Source organism: Homo sapiens, chromosome 1 (genome assembly GCF_000001405.40).
Source record: "Homo sapiens chromosome 1, GRCh38.p14 Primary Assembly".
Lineage (NCBI taxonomy): Eukaryota > Metazoa > Chordata > Mammalia > Primates > Hominidae > Homo > Homo sapiens.
In genome coordinates, this window is record NC_000001.11 from 145,199,632 (window position 1) to 145,218,547 (window position 18,916).

The window sequence follows — 18,916 nt, forward strand, 5'->3', positions numbered from 1 at the left end:
AAGGGTTAAACAACTTCCTCAAAGTAAATAAAACGTTCACAATCCAGCTAGGATAAAAGGATTTAAATCATTTCCTAGGTAGAGGGCTTTCAATTAGAGCCCCTGCTGCATTAACCATGGGAACTCATCTCACTCTCTTCATGATGGAGCCCTGAGTGTTGCTGCTAATCTGTACTCTACCATTCTAATGCTTTTAAGGTTCCTTTTCAGCCCTTCCTCCTCGTAATCCACAAATACTGAGACCAAGGCATTTTTTGGGTCAGTCCTAATTTCAAGCATTCTATCCTGCCCTCCCCAAATGAACTCACACTTATTAGACCATATGTTCCTATATTAGTTCAGGAAGGGGGAAAAAATGTTCATCACACTTGTATATAAGAGATCATAGAAAAACAGTTTACTAACCTGTGAAAATACCATTCATTCTCTGTTTACCTCTGGTCCACAGCTAAGCAATCAGTAGGATATAAATGTACCCTATGTTCACTATTCAGTATTCATAAGTATACTACTTATGAATTGGAAATATGACACAACATTTACATGACCTAATTTTGAAAATTTAAAATAGTGTAAGGCCCCTAGGCTTAATTTTACAGGGGAAAGATTAAAGGGACACAAGCAAACATATATTCTCTCTCTGTGCTGTGGGACACTGGTAATTTTTTGACTTAAAATATTTGATACTTAAGATGCCAAACTTCTACATTTCTGCAGTAACAAGGCAGTTATCATATTGAATACCATTTCTTTCTCTCCAGTAAGTAGAGTTAATATTAGCACATGAACTGAAAATATTAAGTGATTATAAAAAAGTCCAAATAAATTCATTAAAATTTAGCTTGGCAAAATGTTAGTTTCATGTTCTTGGTAGAAGTCCTTTTATATTTATATTCAAATGAAATGAACAATTTACAAGCAAAGGAAATGGCATCAAATATTTGACACCCTGCCTCCCAAGGTGTATTGATTCATGCTTTTTGCTCAGATCTAGGTTTCTCCACTCAGGAAAAGAGGAGAATGTACCCATACTTGGGAAAACAAGTTTCCGATGGCACAGCTTTGATCAAACAGCAAAATTCTATCCATCTATGTATTGCCATCTGACAGTATGACAAATGGTCCCATGTGCGATATTCACACTGCATTGCAGTCAAACCTGTAAGTCAAAGGATATGAAATAATAGTAACTACACATTAAGCACAGAAGAAAATGAAACAAACAAAAAGGTTTTAAACCAACCAAACATATGTCTTATTTTGGATGTTCTATATGTTCTTACATTCTCTCAGGTCTTTTGTGTCATTATGAACACAATTCTAACAAGCTTGATTATTTTATTTCCATTCACATATTACAGGCAACAAGCTGAAAAAGTAGAACGGGGTGTAGAGAGACAGGACAAAGTACAGATAAGGGCTTGAAGTGCCCCTGACCAGTCGACAGCAACCACATGGAATAATGACTCATGTGCATTAATGATCACACTAAATGATATTTGTTTTTTACCTAGTCCTTCAACTGACAGCTTAAAGAACTTCAGGTTGTTCTGATTCTTGAGTCTCCTCTACAGCTTCAGAGAGGACTTTCATTTTATTTTGGATCAAATGCTCCACAACTAGTTGAAACTGGAATTAAATTTTATATGAAGTTCCTAGATGATTTAAAGCTGTAAGAAGAAGAATAATGAATCATAAGAAAACTTGCTGCTACAGATATCAAAAAGGAATGTTACCATCCCTCATGCTAATCCTTTTCATTTTAAATAAACAGGATCTAAAAAAAATAATGCTGGGAAGTCCTAACCACATCAAGAATGCCTCAGATCAGTGACCCAAGGAACCTTCCAGAATGGATGAAATAGACCCAAAGCTGAATTCACCTAATTTTAGGGCCAAAAACCCAAAAAACAAAACAAGACCAAAAAAATCTTCAGATACTGGGAGAACAAATCTCAATTGCTCAATTGTATCTTATGAAAACAATTTTTCAAAATAAAACAAGAGATATTTAAGATTCATTAAGTTCTTGTCATTTCAAATTTTAAGAAAAATATTTTCTAATGGAATTACATATATTTGTATGATTCTTCTAGTTATATCCATGGTAATAAATACTCTTTTCAGTTGGAAATAAAACCCATTTGTGCTATATTATTAGGGAAAATATCTACATAAATTAGTTTTTAATTTAACTAAAGTCTATCTTTTGAATTCATAAGCATAAAATTTTAACCACTTGCAAAATTTATAACACACTTAAGGTAGTCAGATGCCTTGTCAAGTAGTTTAACAAAAGTGATTTTCACCTGTTTGTTTTAATAACAGTGCATCGATTTTATGAAAATCAGGCATGCCCTCGGGTCCTAACAAAGTATACGAAGCTGAATGGATCTATGCCAAATATGCCAGATTTTACTTTCTGAGTCTGATTTTATACTTCTGTCCTCTTTCTTACCACATGGCTTCCAGTATCACTTACAGACTAACCCTTCAAAAGGAGAAGGCTAAGTTACTAACATTTGGAAGGCTTATGAAAATGAAGCATAGTTATGAGCCAGCAATGTTTTTATTTATGGAATGTGTGCAAACCATACACTTAAGCAAGCTCTGGGGAATGAGAGTTGGGGGGAATCAACTCTTTTATTTGCTAATTGGTATTTCCTTTAAAAGATAGAGTTCTTCCAGATTTTAACTGTGTTAATAGTTACTCTAGAAAAATTGGAGATTTGTGTGCATATATTTTATGTTGTAAACAGACACATACCCAGAGACACTGAGAGAGACAGACAGACAGTAAACAGAGGAGCACTAACCACAAACGGTTTACAAATGACCTCTGTGCTCATTCACCTGTCTGTTCCCCACCTTGCCTTTTATAGCAACTATAGCAACAGCCATGAGAGTCATTGTGGAAAGAAATAAAATAAAATTTAAAAATCCTGGAAGCTTGTAAAGAATGTGAGCAAAGGGGAGGAAGTTGTGAAAAAAATGAATAAAGGGCACCGATCCAGAGTATTGAAGAAGGCAGAGTGGAGAGCCTAGTAATGAGTATCTGGTACCCCAGTATCCTCTCCCACAGAATCTGTACAGCTCTCCGTTTATGACAGTTTAAACTTAATTTAAATTATCAAACAGACACTTTCCTCAAACATATAAATGATGAGGCAGTTCATTCAGGCTGTATGTATAAAGTTGTTCCAGCCACCTTTTTCTAACGGCTTCTCTATATCTTTTACATGGAGACAATGAGAGATTTGCTTAGGACAATTTGACTGTAATTTAGAAGTAGGAAATGGGAAGTATTTGTATCTTCTTTGCCTAACTCACATTAGTTACTCAAGTAAGCATTTCTTCCGTTATTGCATTTTCCTGATTACAAGTTTTATGTTTTCTCTAAAACACATATCAAAAGAAATGTCCTAAGCACTATGCAGGGGGAAGCCATGACATTTATCCACCACTGTCAGCAAAAACATGAACTTAGCCCTCAACAGAATATTTCACTTCATTCTAGTGTCACCTCTGCGTCACCTGCACTGGAGTCACCACTTGCCTGTTGGGTAAGACCAGGATGCACCGCTGAAATAAAAAGGGGTCAGACAATACAAGAAAAGCCAGTAGAAATTGCCAAATGTATCAGAATACACACAGGCTTTCTAAGGATATGGCCCAAGAGGAAGGCTCTAGAGCCCACCCTGAAACAGGATTTTTGACTTCACAGAGAAATTATTTAATTTTCAATAACACAATTCAATTAAAGAAAGGGAAATACAAGGCTAAACAAATAAGAAATGAAGACAAAAACCCAACCTTTCAAATCTAAAGAAAATAATCTGTTTTAAAGACACAGATGAAGATCAGGAACCCAAAACAGAAGAAAGGAAAAGCAATTAACGCTGGCATCTGATAACAACGAAAAGTATGGAGTCTGGAGAATCGCTAGACTCTAAAAATTATAAAGGTTTAGACTTGGACTTTCTACACTGAAGAAAAGAAAACTGCATGCATTTATACTGACCAATGTACACTATTGCTGCTTTTTAACTTTTGTGTATATGTAGGGTAGATTTTTTTTAAGTGAAAGCAAGCTTATTAAGAAAGTAAAAGAATAAAAAGGTGGCTTCTCCATAGGCAGAAAACTAGCGTAGTTTTTTTATTAGAAATTGTTATTCAATAATAGTACATGTTACAAATAAATACCATTTTAAACTGAAAAAATTGTAGACTTTCAAATCAGTTAGGGTGGTCACCCTAAAAAAGGGCATTTTTTTCCCCTTAGTCTCCTTGTTCATGTTGCTCACAACAAGAAATGGGCTCATGCTATGAATAATAATAACAAACACTGCCTTCTGTCAGGCCCTGTGCTGAATACCATCTGCATATGTATAGGAAAGGGTTAACTCAGCAGGTCTTGTTTGCCCAGACTCTGTACATTTCCAAGAAAGGTCTGCCTTTAGGACTGGTCCTTGGCCAGCTCCTGGAGAATGAGCTCTCAGCTTTTAGAAAATTCTATCTGCTAAGAATAGTTTTGCATGTCTCAGGTCTTGGGCCACAAAATATCAGTTTAATCAGATGGTTTATGTTAACAAGTATGATTTATGGCAAACATAGATCTCTAATCTCCATTTCTCTCTCATATATCTATATTTATCTATCCATATATATGTACCTATATATATCAAATATGAAGATATGTTTATAGCAATTGCATATACATAGAGAGATAGTATGTAGTATGAAGAGAGACATAGATATTATTCTTCATTTTAGAATGTTATCTTGGTATGTTTAAAAGGAAAAACTTAAGATGTGTTGCAATTGCAGTATGAGTTTCAGGTATGTACATGTTATGTGTGTGTGTGAGAGACACACACAAACACATTTCAAACATGTTTTATGTTTAAGCTCAATATTCAAACACAGAAATATAACATCTATTCTTAGTATGTTTTATGTAAGTACAGCAGCAGCATTATTAAATACTGTATTTCTATGGTGATTGAAAATTAGTAGGCAGAGAATTTTTGTAATGGCTCTTAATAATTTTTGTAATAGTAAATGATTACTTTTTGTTTAGTATAGTTTTATAATCTATACATGAATAAAGTGGATATTTCTATTCATATAGAAATGTGATTTACTCTCATGTACTTATCTACATGCTAAAACCATAAGTTATCAATTTTAGTTCTGTGCCAAGGCACTTTTACTGAATAAAAATAATCAGCTAATTTTATATTTTCCTGATTCAAATTTATATGCCTGTGTAATGTTCCGGGATTTTTTTTTTTAATTTCTGTAAATCAGAATATTCAGATGTTGAAAAAGTCTTTGCCTTCAGATTTAAAAGATACCTTTGAAATGTAGCATATCCCAAAATGCAACCCAGAGGCTGGCAATGTCAACATTTTTCTGTTTTAAAAAACCTCTTATGAAAACTATTGCCATACTAAATTTTTTACTTGCTGATGACTTACAGCTGGAAAGGATTCTGTACATATAAGACATCAAATATTGAGGATACTGGAACTTTTAAATTAATGGAAAAGAAAGTCAACAAAGGAAGTTCATATGAAATCAAACTAGTAATATGATTACAAAAAAAAAAAGTTTAAAATTTTTCTTGGCCCCAGTCTTATCATTTCTGAGCCAAATACAATTCTATCGAAATCACCTGAAACTGAAATCACCATTCTAGGCTGGTTTTCCCATAAAGATGGACTGCTCCAAAAAGAGGAATCAAGAAAGAATTTGGCTAATTATTCACTTTGTCTTAGTTAAGTAAAAATAAAATCTGACTGTTAACTACAGAAATCATTTCAAATTCTGTGGTGATAATAAAGTAATGACCGCTTTTCAGCTGGAGGGACTAACTTTTTTTTTTTTTTGCTGCATATATAGCTGTGGTACATTTTAATGTGAAATGATGACTGCATCAGCTTATATCCATGGAGCAGATTTTAGCATTCAGCTTGGGTCTCCCAGTCAATATCTACGAGTCTCTTCTTAAGGAGATCGATGACACAGATACATACAGACTAACAAATGTGATACCAATAATCAAGAATTCACTCAGTTAAGATTTTGCCCACTGATTTCCACACAAGAAACCTAGAATTTACTAGATTCTTGTGCCTGTGAGGCTCCACTCATTTCCCTGAATCACAAAAGCTACAGAGTATTTAGATAGAAATATACCTACTCTTAACATGAACCATTTTAAATATATGTATTACTGTGTCCACAGGAGTACACTTTAAAGCAGGGACTTCACTCTTCAATCTCTCCAATCACGTGTTACCTAAAGTGGCATGTGGTTCCCTAAAGCTTAATAACTGACATTGCCTTAAAAAAGGGGTTTGCTTCCCGACTAATGTGGAAAAAGTCTGAAAAATGATTTTAAATCTTTCACTAAATTTCTCATTTGGTCACGTGGAGGAAAATGATTTCACCAAATAGATACTCTCATTAATTTTTTAATGTAATTTATCAAAGAAATGAAATATTTAGATAAATTCCAGATTTCCCCCACCATGAGCTTCTCCGAAAGTATACTCCATCACAGACTGCTCACTAAGAAGCTCTACTGCAGTCAAAGTGACCGAATTTAAGGGGACATAATGACTACTTCTGCTACACAGAAACATTATCCATCTCTAACACTTCCCTATGAGACAGAAGACGGACTTCTAATCAGGTACCAGAGAGGGCTCTGCCAACTTCAGGGCTTTGATGAATAAGAATGGTTCAGAGCGCTCATCATAAATGAATTCAGTATAACTGAGTGAGAAAGTGAGAGAACCAGAGAAATAAATCCTCATGTAGAAAATTTAGGGGCATGAAATGCCAAATGCCAGTTAACCAAAGCTTTCTTTGTCATAAAGCAACTTCTATAAAAATTGCTGAAAATAAATTCTTCATGGCTCAATGTGAATCAGTAATTTCCATTTCTATTACACTTTTGTTTACCCAAAAACTATTTTTAATGACTAAGACTCAGAGTTTGCCAGAGTGTTTTCCACAAAACAACTGTTTTGAGATACTCCAGATCTGTAATCAAGTAAGTCTGAAAAACCCCAAATACCTCACTCACCTCTTGGATATGCATAAAGCACACTAATATATAACGTTCTAAAAAGCCAATCATTAAAACTGTTTTATATTGTTTAAGCATTTCCTAGACATATTTGGCTACAAATCTAACATCTAATTAAACAGTTTGGGAAATGCCATCACATAATGTAGGAATATTACTAGTCATTTAAGAAACTAGAAAATATTTACTATATTCTAGGCAGTTGGCTAGCAGTTGGAGTTCTAGTCTCTAAACAAAATACTGACTTATTTCTGTGACTTTTTTCTTTTAAGCAGCTCTGTGCTTCACAATTTGTTTTTCCTGGTTTGTTTTCCACTTTTGTCTGTACTTTATTCCTTCACAGATGTGAAAGGCTAACAAATGTAAACTAGTTATATTAATCAGCCTCTGCCTCAGTTCTACACTTCAAATACAGTATATACTCTATCAACAATTCTTGGATAATAACAACCTGTACTTGTTTTTCAAACAATAAAACAGGCCGGGCACCGTGGCTGGCTCACGCCCATAATCCCAACACTTTGGGAGGCCGACCGAGGCGGGCGGATCACCTGAGGCCAATATGGTGAATTCTCGTCTCGACTAAAAATACAAAATAATTAGCTGGCCGTGGTGGTGTGTGCCTGTAATCCCAGTTACTTGAGAGACTGAGACGAGAGAATCACTTGAACCCGGGGGGCAGAGGTTGCAGTGAGCCAAGATTGCACCACTGCACTCCAGCCTGGGCAAAAAGAGCGAAAACTCCATCTTAAAAATAAAATAAATAATAAAACAATGATGAAAACACAACTAACTACAGCACTTCAGAGTTAGTTGACAAATCCACCTTTTCAATCTACATTTCAAAATGTTCAGAAAGACACCATCCTAGGGGAAGTCAACCAGCAGCAACCTCTCTGCTAATTTTTGTACACAGAAACTTGACCTGACTGCACAAAGATTTCAATAGATGTCTCCCTCTAAAATTAATATTGGATGATTTGTCATCTTCCATTTAATACCAAAAGGGTATCAGCCACAAACTGAAATATCACTCATATGCAAATAAATAACATTCAAGACTTTTATCGTTGTGGTTATTAATCTTGTAATGGATGGACATAAATCTATTTACATTCTCATCCTATCCTCAAATTTCACTATCCTCTCCTCTCATTCTTACTTTGTTCTACTCATTTTCTCACTCTATCCTCCTATGCATAAAATATTATGTATTCTAATGAACAGAGATACCATTCATGGGCAAGGAAAAAACACAATGAACTGCTCTTTATAATAAAAACCATGATCTTGACACAGATATTATCAATCAATAAACTTTACACAGCTTTACACTAAATTAATACAAACTGCTGATGAGTGGGTGGGGGGGGTCACTAAGCAAACAGAAGCATGTAGGTGTTAGGAAGCACGAGAAACATATATCAGTGGGTAGGGAAGGCAGCTCTCAAAGGCCAAGAATATAAGTTTTAGGTCTATATGGAAAAAGCTGTGGTCACATTCGAAGGCTTCTGAACAGAAGAATGATTAATTTCATGCTTAAAGAGTTCAGGTGTAAATAAACTGGATGGATAAGAAACTCAAAATCAAGAATTTTAAGACACTGGGTTAAGGTGATTGAGCTAAGTCAAAGCCAACAGGGCATGGGCTAAATATTGACATGGGATGGGATGAAGAGGCCAACAATGTTTCAAAGTAGAGGTTGCCGGAGCTTCAGGAACCAGAAGAGGAAGACTTGAGGTGAAATCTGAAACTGCAATCCCCATGCCTGGCTCAAAAGATGTGATACTGACTAGGAAAAGGCTGGAGAGAGAAGCTTCTTTTAAAGAGGTAATAAGGGATTGTTTTGATGTGCTGGGTTGAGGTGAAAATGACAAATATTCAGGTGGAAGTGTCCAGCATTCAAGTAGGATAACTTGGAACAGAAAGCCCAAATTATGTCATGGTGAAATGAGGATAATGTCTTATTAATAAAAACACGTCTTACTAGTCTTTCCTGGGGAACATGAAAGATAGAATTTCAGAAATTTAGAGAATGAAAAAGGAAAGATTACAAGGCAATAAGTTGATTAAAATAGACTAAAATAAACTAATCAGTGGCAGCTATCTTAAAGCAAGATATATCTTCTACAGCACGATCTACCCAAATGCAAATCTGGGCAGAGAAATACAAAATATTTTTAGGACTGACAAAATTTCAGCTATCTGTCTTTTTAAAAATGCTGCAGAGAGAAATTTAGATGGATTGGACAAATATTTGCATAAGGATTCCACAGCCAACGTACACAATTTTCCAACTACTATGGTTAGCACTGGGCTCAGGCACTACCTTTGCCAACCAGCAGATTTTCAGTATTGCCCCTGGCAGACATCCCACTAGCAATCTCTCCCCATTCCCAAACATTCCCAACTATTCTAGTCATGCCAATTCAACCAATGTCCCTTAAGCCTTACATAAACATTGACTTACACCGAAATGTATCCTATGGCTCTTACTAACTGTAACTTACTTAAATCACCCAAGCCTCTGTTTTCCCTGCTATAAAATGTAAAATAGCTGACAAAATACCTATTTGTATTTTTTGGAAACACGGGATAAAGCAAGGCAAGCAAAAAGAACAGCAGAGACAATGCTTAATAAATATCCTAGTAGGATCACCTTAATCCATGAAGAAAATGGAGTTTAATTTTTTTAATACAAAAAAACTCAATGAAGTTATACTTACGTTAAATTGGTGGTTATTTTAGGTCAGTGGTTTTAAAACTCAACAATGAAACTGTTTTCAAAAAGAGTTGTTATACAGAACAGAAAAAAGCAGCCACAATTTTAAAAAAGATATGAAGACCCAGATTCTGACTAACTCATTCAGCTCCCTTCATACTCCCTCCCCACAGCCACCCCAGCTCCTGAGGCAGGTTCCCAGGGCTCCAAGGAACATACTTTTAAAAAATCAGTATTTTGAATATATAATAAGTGATGTAACTTAAAAGTATGGTGAGAAAGTCCCATTGCCAAGAGAAACATGTTAATTTTTTATTTAAAAAATCATCACTCTTTTCATTGTGACATCTTGAAGAACGCTGAATGGCTTCAAAATAACTGCATATGCCAAGATTTCTGGAGTGGGCACGTTTGATCTTCTTTCATAATGAAAACTGACAAACCTTTTTAGGGGGATAGTATTGTTTCTTCACTCTCCCCCCTCCTCACCCCTGCACACACATACATTTCTCCTTCCTGGGGAACTCCAAAGAAAACAAAGGCCCTTTAGCAATCAAGTAGATTGTCTCTCTTGATGGCATCCCATGAGTTATGGAATTACATACTGCAGGCCCCGGTGGATTAGGGCCCCTAGAAAGTTTGCTTGATCAACAGAGTGCTGTTGATTTTTTCAACTGAATTAATTACTCTTGGAGTCCAAACTCTCCAGTGTGCCACAGTCCTCATCACTTCCTGTATCTTAAATATTGCATTATCTGTCCCCTAAAAGTATTTGAACATGTGACCCAGAGAAGAGGACTTACAACTTGACTAGGCAACTTCTGTCACACTGGATTCATATGAAATTCCACTGCAAGTGACATCACCAGATCGGGGACCCTGAAGTGTTTGAGTATCTTCTCCACATCTGGTCATTTAGGCTAAGAAATTCCTTCTTGTCTACCAGGTCTTTTAGCATTCATTTTGTAAGTCATTCAACACCTACTTACTGAGAAGGAATACTGGGCTAGACAGTGTGCTAGGGGCTGGGGAAACCGCAATGCATAGGAGAGAATTCCCATCTCCAAGAGGCTCACAGTCAAACAGACATAAATAGGTGATTACAATATACACTAACAACATAGTTTTAGAAACAACTAGCAGAATTATATAGACGAAGATGCCAGGAAAGGCTTCTCAGAGAATCTGGCTTGGCAAATATCTCAACAAAGAGGGCTGAGCAGGGATGAGCTGAAGGAGAGGATGGAAAGTAGGTTGTGGGTGAGTTTTCCAGGCAGCATGTGCAAAGGTCCAGGAGAAAGAGGAAGGAGCCTGTACTTGGAGGAATATTCGATTACTATTATCAGTGTCACACTTGCTATTCATCTAGACAGAAGCTCCTGAAACAAAAAGGATACACTTCAAAAGATGCCAATATATCCATGACCACACAAAAGAGTGTCTAGTCATATAATAAAGGGTGTACATATGCAGGCAACTCACATCCTGCCAAATATTAAATTTCTAATTTTATTATAATTTCTAATAAAACATTAGATTTATTATTATACAGAGTCATACTCCTTGATTGGGAAACTCTCAACACAATAAACATTCTTTAGTCTCATGTCTTTTCTAAAGGAAAGAAATTAATGTTATATTCTTGGGTGAAAAAAAATGTGAGGTCTCAAAAGAGTATAATACAATTTGGGGATGCATATATATTTTACATGTATATAGACACATAAAAATCTAAAAGAATAAATTTTAATATGTTAACAGAAGACAGAAGTCATGTATTTTTTACTTTCTTCTTTTTGGCATATCTCTTTTTCTAACTTTTTTTTTTCTTTTTACAAAAAACAATTGTTATTTGTGTACTTTTAAAACCTCACAGTAATATTTTCACACTACCTTCTTGGCTGAAAGTTCACACTCGGAATTCCAGAGCAGTCCATGGCCAGGCCCACTGGGCTCCCCTTGCTCTCTCCTTGGCTTTGGTAACCACTGGCCCCAGGGACTCAGCCTGCTTTCCTATCCATCCCCTCAGTAGCTGTCACCATGCAGGTTACCCCTTCTGTTTCTTCTACCACTAACTCCATGTCTGACTGCAAGTGAAAGGAACAGAAGCCCAAACCTTTGGGTTTTAAGGAGTTTATTGCTAATCTGTAAAACAGAAAGAGACAGGAGATAAGCATGACAAAATATAGGGAAGAAATGACTTTTGCCTAAACTTCCAAACTGTGTACAATTGAAGCCTCTGCTTTATAGCTCTTAGCACACCTCTCAAATAAGAAGGCAGTACTGGGAAGGCTCTGAACCTGTGGCAGAACCACTGATAGCTGTGGAGCTATTCCAAGGAGTCTGGGAATCAGGGGGATTATCAAGATCATTGTTAGAATAAATTAATCTTACTGTATATATAGCAGAAGTTTTCAAGCATATGTAAATGCTACTAATAACCAAATAATTACACCTTGTTTTTCTTTAAACTGTAACTCTCAAGTATGTCTCTACAAAATTTTTTGATGGTAGTGTCTGCATGCTCAAAAAGCTTGAAAACACTACTGGAGAAGAAGGTCTCGGGAGTGTGATGAAATACGTTTACATGGCAGCTTCATCATTTAATTGGTGAAAGTGACTATGTGTCTTAAACTCTCTGAGCCTCAGTTTGCACATCCAAAAGCAAGGATATAATTCCATGAACCTTTCCACCTCAAGTCCACAAGGCAGAATAGCAAGATGTTAACTGCCACTCTGAGGACCACCAAATAAAAGGACAATTTATTAGGCCACTTGCCAGCATGGACACAATCGACTCTTGGCATTTCTTATTATCCACAGAAAAATTAAAAGTATAAATGTAGAACAAAATTATCGTGTTTTTTTTAATAGTAACATGTAAGATCAATCTTTGTCTTTAAAATACCGTGTATCTCATTCTTGGAAAGCGTCAAAATGAAAATGGTATAGTAAGTTTTATCTACAACTTGAATTAAAATTATTCTTGAAATACGTTCTGAATGGTTAGATGAAATGGTAATTAAATACAAATAGAGATAATCATATACTCTCTCTCCATAAGGCTCCCACCTCCTTCAATGAAGTCTAGTTCACCTAAAATGACACTATTAACATTAATTCAATATTCTAAGTTGATAAGCACATTAAATCAAAACACAGCAAGATTATTTTAAGAGTCTGACTGAAATGTCAGGATGAGAAATAGATTAATAAATATTGGCTTCTAATGTCGGTAATGAAAACAAACACGTTATTTTCAGAAAATAAAAGGTCTTCGCCATTAGGTACAAATCATAAAGGGATTATCTACGGTTACTACACTGTAACAACTTTTTACATATTGTATTATAGAACAAGCTTTTGAGAAGACAAAGCAACACATCAGCAGTTTAACCAATTGTCTTTCTCTTTTAACAGGCTGGTCTACATTAGATTAGATATAAAAGGCCCAGGTATTACTTGTGTTCGATCTTAGCCAAATGGCTGAGAAACATCCAGGTACATTTAAATCAGTGACAAAAGAAAACATTATCCCTTAGTAAAATTACATAAAATAGGAAACATCTCTTACTTTAAGAGCAACCATGGTACTTGTTCCTATGGTGAAAACTGATGTTATCTCGATTAGTTAATTATTCATCCCAACACCTGGTCTTGCTCCCTTTTCCACCTCTAGCTATGTTAACACTAGAGTTCAGTAATTTGCTGATAAAGAATCTTAACTGCAGTATCTAACAGATCTTAGTGATTAAGCATATGACTTACTCTTTGTACAGATAAGTAAACTGAGGCCAAAAGAACTGAGGTATCTTATTAAAAATCAGAGAGCTAGTTAGTTGAAAAGTCCACCTGTCCTTCCTTTCCACATGTCTCACCAGAAAAACAGCAATGGTGAAAAGTCAACTCTGTTTTTAATGGGCCACTTTGTATATTTTAACTGTTAAAATAATCCAAGAAGATAGTAGTCATATACGAAGATCCTTTAGATATAATGTGTAGGACCAGCATTAATTTAATCAACCAAGTCTCCTCTCATTGAATTAATTCATAATTACAAAGATGACATTACAGTAAATTAAGAAATACTGTAATTTCATTCTCTCCAAAAAGTATACATTGAAGTTTGGTGAATACTGTTATATTTTCAACTAGTAAATCAATGTGCCAATTCTGGGTCTTAGGCATATTGTATATACTGGAATGATATTCACTTTAATTAAATTTGTTTTGAGATGTAGAATGTAATACAGATCCTACGTGTTTTTAAAAGTTCACATCAATTTCAAGCTTTTAAAAATGTATGTACACAAGAAAGCTTCTTTTGCAATTTATATGTTTACAAATGTTGCCATTAGCTAAGCTATATTTTGGAATGTGATCAAACAATATTGAATGTCAAGTCTTAACAGCAGGGCTGGTCTAAGGAATTCCCTCTAAGCTAAATCTGATCCTTTCATATGTGGCTACTGCTCTTTTAAACTACTGTATCCCTAAAGGGCTAAAAGGAAGAAAATCCTAACTTAATAAGTGAAGGCAGCAAGGCATAGTATTTGAATGGCTACCTTTCATTTTAACTCTACTTCTTAAATTCACAATTGGATTTGGGTTTGTTTCAAGTTGTTCACAATTTACTAACGAAATGTGCATCTCTCATTCTTCCCCCAAAAGAAAGAAGTCATCCACTCCAGCTACATATAAGTCTCCAATTTCTGTCTTACAACTAAACGTGAAAACCGAAATACCACTCATTGAAAAAAAAAATGTACAGAGAATTGGCAGGCTGCATGTTTATGTGAACCTTCAGAAAACATGGAAACACGCAGCCCCAACTCACCAGGAAAATCAACACTTGTGATCAAACTATTTTGTGACATTTTATGTCTTTTATACATTTCACTTCATATCCAGTATTCCAGTTTTGCACCGGCTTGCCTGTATCAACCCCAAATCGCCTGAGAGCAATCTAGTACTGTAGCAGAACCGTTTCAACATGAAGAGTTCTGCTCATCGCCTGTGGCATGGTCTTCGAAACACCTGAATCAAACATTGATTCCCCTCCCCCTGCTATTTAAAACCGAGGGACGTCAGGCTTGGGTTGTAGGTAAAGAAAAGCCACAGTAATCAAACAAGCAACCAAAATACCCGAACACGGAACACGCTAAGAACAAAGGAAACACAAGAGTGTGAACAGGAAATGAAGCAACTCTACACCCATAAATACCTTCTGGGGCCGCCAACATAGGTAAAAGTAAAGGTGGAGTCTGAGTACCTGAAATCTGAAACAGAAAGTCCTGTCAAAAGCTACCCCTGGAGTGGATTTGTTTTAACCCCGATCAGGACTTGGGCCCTCCATTTGGTGGAGTCAGGGGAGGCCTGGCCGGGCGGGAGGCGAGGGCTAGAGGGCGGCGAGGTCTCTCCGCGCAGCGTCCGAGGGGATGCGGCGCGCCCCCGACTGGGTGCAGCGGCAGGCCGCCCCCGGCAGCAAGTGCCGGGTGCCATGGCAACGGCGGGAATTTCCCGGTCGGGGAGGCCGGAAGCAGCCCCAGCCGGGCTCGCGGCAGCGAAAGCAAAATCCGATCTCTCTCCCGGGGGAGCAAAATGGACGAAAGGCGACCCCCCAGGCAGGGGCGCTGGGTGCCTTGGGAATCCGAGGAATCCCTTCTCTTTGCCAGTCGGAGGGGACTAGATGGAGCCGAAGGGGCCGGAGATGGGCCGAGCGCTGCCCCCCGGGGGTCCTCGGCGCCGGGCGCAGCTTACGAGCGCAGCGCAGCAGGCTCCATTCCCGGCCGCCGCCGCTCAGCCCATTACGCAAACCTGGCGGGTCCAACCAACCCCGCTGTGCCGCCGCTGCTGGAACCCAGGAGGCGTGCTTGCAGGCTTCGGGCACTACGCGGGGCTGGAAATACCACGCACTGCCCCTTCGCCTAGACCCCCGCTCGGGCCACGCGGGTTCTGCCCTCAAAGCTGGTAGCTGCCCCAGACTTGGGGGTGGGGGGAGGGGAAGGGGCGAGGCTGGCGCCCCCTCCCGCTTTTGGCTCCCGCGTTCGTTGCAGCAGCTGTTGCCAAATGAACCCCGGAATGCGGACGTGCAAACCCTCCACCCCACCCCCAGCCACACACGTCGCGGTCAGAGAACTGGGAAGGGGGCGCTGGGTCCGAGGTTCTGGAAAAGCAAGAACTCACCTGCAAACAGGCAGTCCTCAGCTCTGGACTTCTGGATCACGACGTCGATATCCTTCTGAATTCGGTCTTGCCTTGAACACATCCCCATTAAATAAATCCTTGGAAAAGAAGCAGCCGCTATTTCCACCCCACCCCCCTCGCACGCTTTCAGCTTTCGTAAATATTCAGTTAAAAATGAAACCTCTGGCCGAGGCAGGGGCTGAAGGCCAAGTGGTTTCGGAAGTGATCCTGGGTGAGAGGAGGAGGAGGAGGAGGAGGAAGAGGTGGAGGAGGAGGGGGAGGTCGGCTTTCCATTTCCAGATGTGACCGCCCAGCTGCTGCTCGCCGCTGCTGGATTCCAGTTTCCTCCCCTTCTGGCGACGGATTGGTGATGACACCGAGTCTCACTTTCTCCTTCCCCCGCCGGGACCAACCGCCGTGGGGGGCCGAGGGTGCCGGGGACGGCCGGAGAGCGATCACGGGCTGGGCGGCGGAAGCCGACGAGGGGCGAGCCCCGCTCCGGCTCAAGCGATCACACCCCTCACGGCCCGCACTCCGGCCTTCCACACCCGTGCACACTCTCGCCCGCGGGCGGCGGCAGCCGTGCCCAGGCTGCTGCAGCGCCACCCGCCCGCCGCGGACCCTCCGCGCCCTCCGCCTAGTCACCCGGCCCGGCCGCGGGCCGCCGGGGCTCGCAGAGTGTCAGCCATCCCGGGCAGGAGTCGCGTCTCCCCACCCCGACCTCCACTCGCGCCGGGAGCTGAGCGGCAGTGTAGGTAGTGAAGACTCCCTGGGGCTCCCAGCCTTCCCTCTCCGCGCTCTCCCCCCGTCACTTTTATGAATTCGACTCCACTTTCTAAAGGAATTATGAGTCTTGTGGCAAACACAAACCGGAGTGGCCGGGAGGGGGAAAAGGGGGGAAAAGAAAATCTTTAAAAATTAAAAAAATAATAAAACGAACAAATCTTTACTTGTTGCCACCTCAGATAACACGGAAAAAGCCTTGAAATTACTCCAGATGTGCACCCTCCCCTTCCCTCAGTGCCTGAGTCTTTTTCCTCCAGATCGAAGTATTTCAGCCCTTTTGGGGCGCCGTTTGCGAAACACAGCCCCTTTTGAGGGACTTCCTCCTCTTGAAAAGACTCACCAGTTCTCCCTTCCTAGGTGTTTCTGTTCATGAGAAATTGTCAGAATCAACTGGCACGTTCCAGGGTCTTCCTAAAGGATGGAAACCTGTTTGGCTTGCTTTTTAAAACCACCTCCTTTGACAGTCAGTCCAGGGAAAGCTACAATCCAGGTGTTCAGAAATGAGATACTGCTCTGATTCTCACTTTCTGTTCTGCCTAAGGACACCTCAGGCTGACGTAGCTGCCCCACCTCTATATTGGTTTATGCCCTAGGAGAGGTCTCCAGCAGGCACTTTTCTTGTTGATCTTTTCTCCGCTGAGAAGGCTCCCGCCAGTAGACCATGACTCGTTTTGCTTTGCATTCTCAGTGCCACGTACAGTGCCTGGAATACAGGAGGGTGGCCTAAATGTTGGCTGAATGCATGAATGGTCATTTCTTGCAGCCTCTTTTCATTACCCTGTCTCATCAGCTTTCTTATCAGAATAAGTGCCCAAGAGTGCCAAACTGTTTCAGACCCTTAATCAATTTAGTTCTGATTCTCACCGTGACAACATGATGTTCAGCACGGTAGGAATGACTGCCATCTCTGAAGGAGTCTTAAGATTCTGTAGAATCAGTGAAAGATTCTATGTTCTAACGCCTTTACCTTTCAGGAAAGAAATTACAAAATAGTTTCATTGTCCAGTCATATTCACTATGAGTTATAAGAGGAAACATTCTATCTAGAATTAGAAATACCATTTGACCCAGCCATCCCATTACTGGGTATGTACCCAAAGGACTATAAATCATGCTGCTATAAAGACACATGCACACGTATGTCTATTGCGGCACTATTCACAATAGCAAAGACTTGGAACCAACCCAAATGTCCAACAATGATAGACTGGATTAAGAAAATGTGGCACATATACACCATGGAATACTATGCAGCCATAAAAAATGATGAGTTCATGTCCTTTGTAGGGACATAGATGAAATTGGAAATCATCATTCTCAGTAAACTATCGCAAGAACAAAAAACCAAACACCGCATATTCTCACTTATAGGTGGGAATTGAACAATGAGAACACATGGACACAGGAAGGGGAACATCACACTCTGGGGACTGTTGTGGGTTGGGGGGAGGGGGGAGGGATATCACTGGGAGATATACCTAATGCTAGATGACGAGTTAGTGGGTGCAGCGCACCAGCATGGCACATGTATGCATATGTAACTAACCTGCACATTGTGCACATGTACCCTAAAACTTAAAGTATAATAATAATAAATTTAAAAAAAAGAACAAAACATCACATTGTACCACATAAAAAAAAAAAAGTTGGATTTTGCAAGGAAGATAGACATCTGACTAAAGTTTGGCCTAGCAAGGAATCTTTGTTAGTACTACTTCTTGTTTAAGGAAAGAAGAGACACTCATCTTTCCTTCAAACAATATAAGTCTCTTTTCTTGTTTGATCACCTTTTATTCATTAAGGACCAGTTGAATCATCAGTTGGGACTTGGTAGCAGAGGATATTTCCTGGATAGTGTGAGCTATCAGGCCTTTAATGTGGGAAGTTTAGTTTCTATAAAAATAAAATTAAAAAAGATTAATAGTTGGAACAAACTATAAAGACAGTTTCTGAGCCCAGAGGGCAGCTGATCAATAAGATTTCTAGATGCTGGGCTTGTAGTATCTTCAGCTGGAGTGAGAAGAGGCATTGGATTAGTTTGCAGTTTGAATGCCATAAAGATGGGCCACACACAAGCTGTTGTGGTAATTTTTCTGAAGCTTATGTCAAGTCATCCAGTTTCA

General features: G+C 39.1%; 2 long non-coding RNA genes across 9 annotated transcripts in view, besides 1 other annotated feature; one reads left to right on the top strand and one right to left on the bottom strand.

The window, feature by feature from the left end:
• The window catches only part of LINC01145 (long intergenic non-protein coding RNA 1145), a 51,954-nt gene extending 35,533 nt beyond the window's left edge, over positions 1-16,421 (bottom strand). For 6 of the 8 annotated variants that reach the window (NR_111958.2, NR_156690.1, NR_156689.1 and 3 more), the window contains exon 1: positions 16,008-16,421. This is a non-coding gene — a long non-coding RNA (long intergenic non-protein coding RNA 1145). Of the gene's footprint in view, positions 1-15,045; positions 15,101-16,007 lie in introns of all 8 variants that reach the window. The other 2 variants (NR_156691.1, NR_111957.2) reach the window with 1 other exon arrangement.
• LOC100996740 (uncharacterized) lies at positions 15,220-16,946 on the top strand. Its single transcript, NR_148945.1, has one exon. It is a non-coding gene; the product is annotated as an uncharacterized LOC100996740 (long non-coding RNA).
• Positions 16,247-16,616: a silencer, noted in NCBI's record as "silent region_1258". NCBI's record gives its function as "represses an Ori minimal core promoter by ATAC-STARR-seq in GM12878 lymphoblastoid cells {active_cell/tissue: GM12878}" and the evidence as "EXISTENCE:reporter gene assay evidence [ECO:0000049][PMID:35858748]".
• Positions 16,947-18,916: the final 1,970 nt, after the last annotated feature.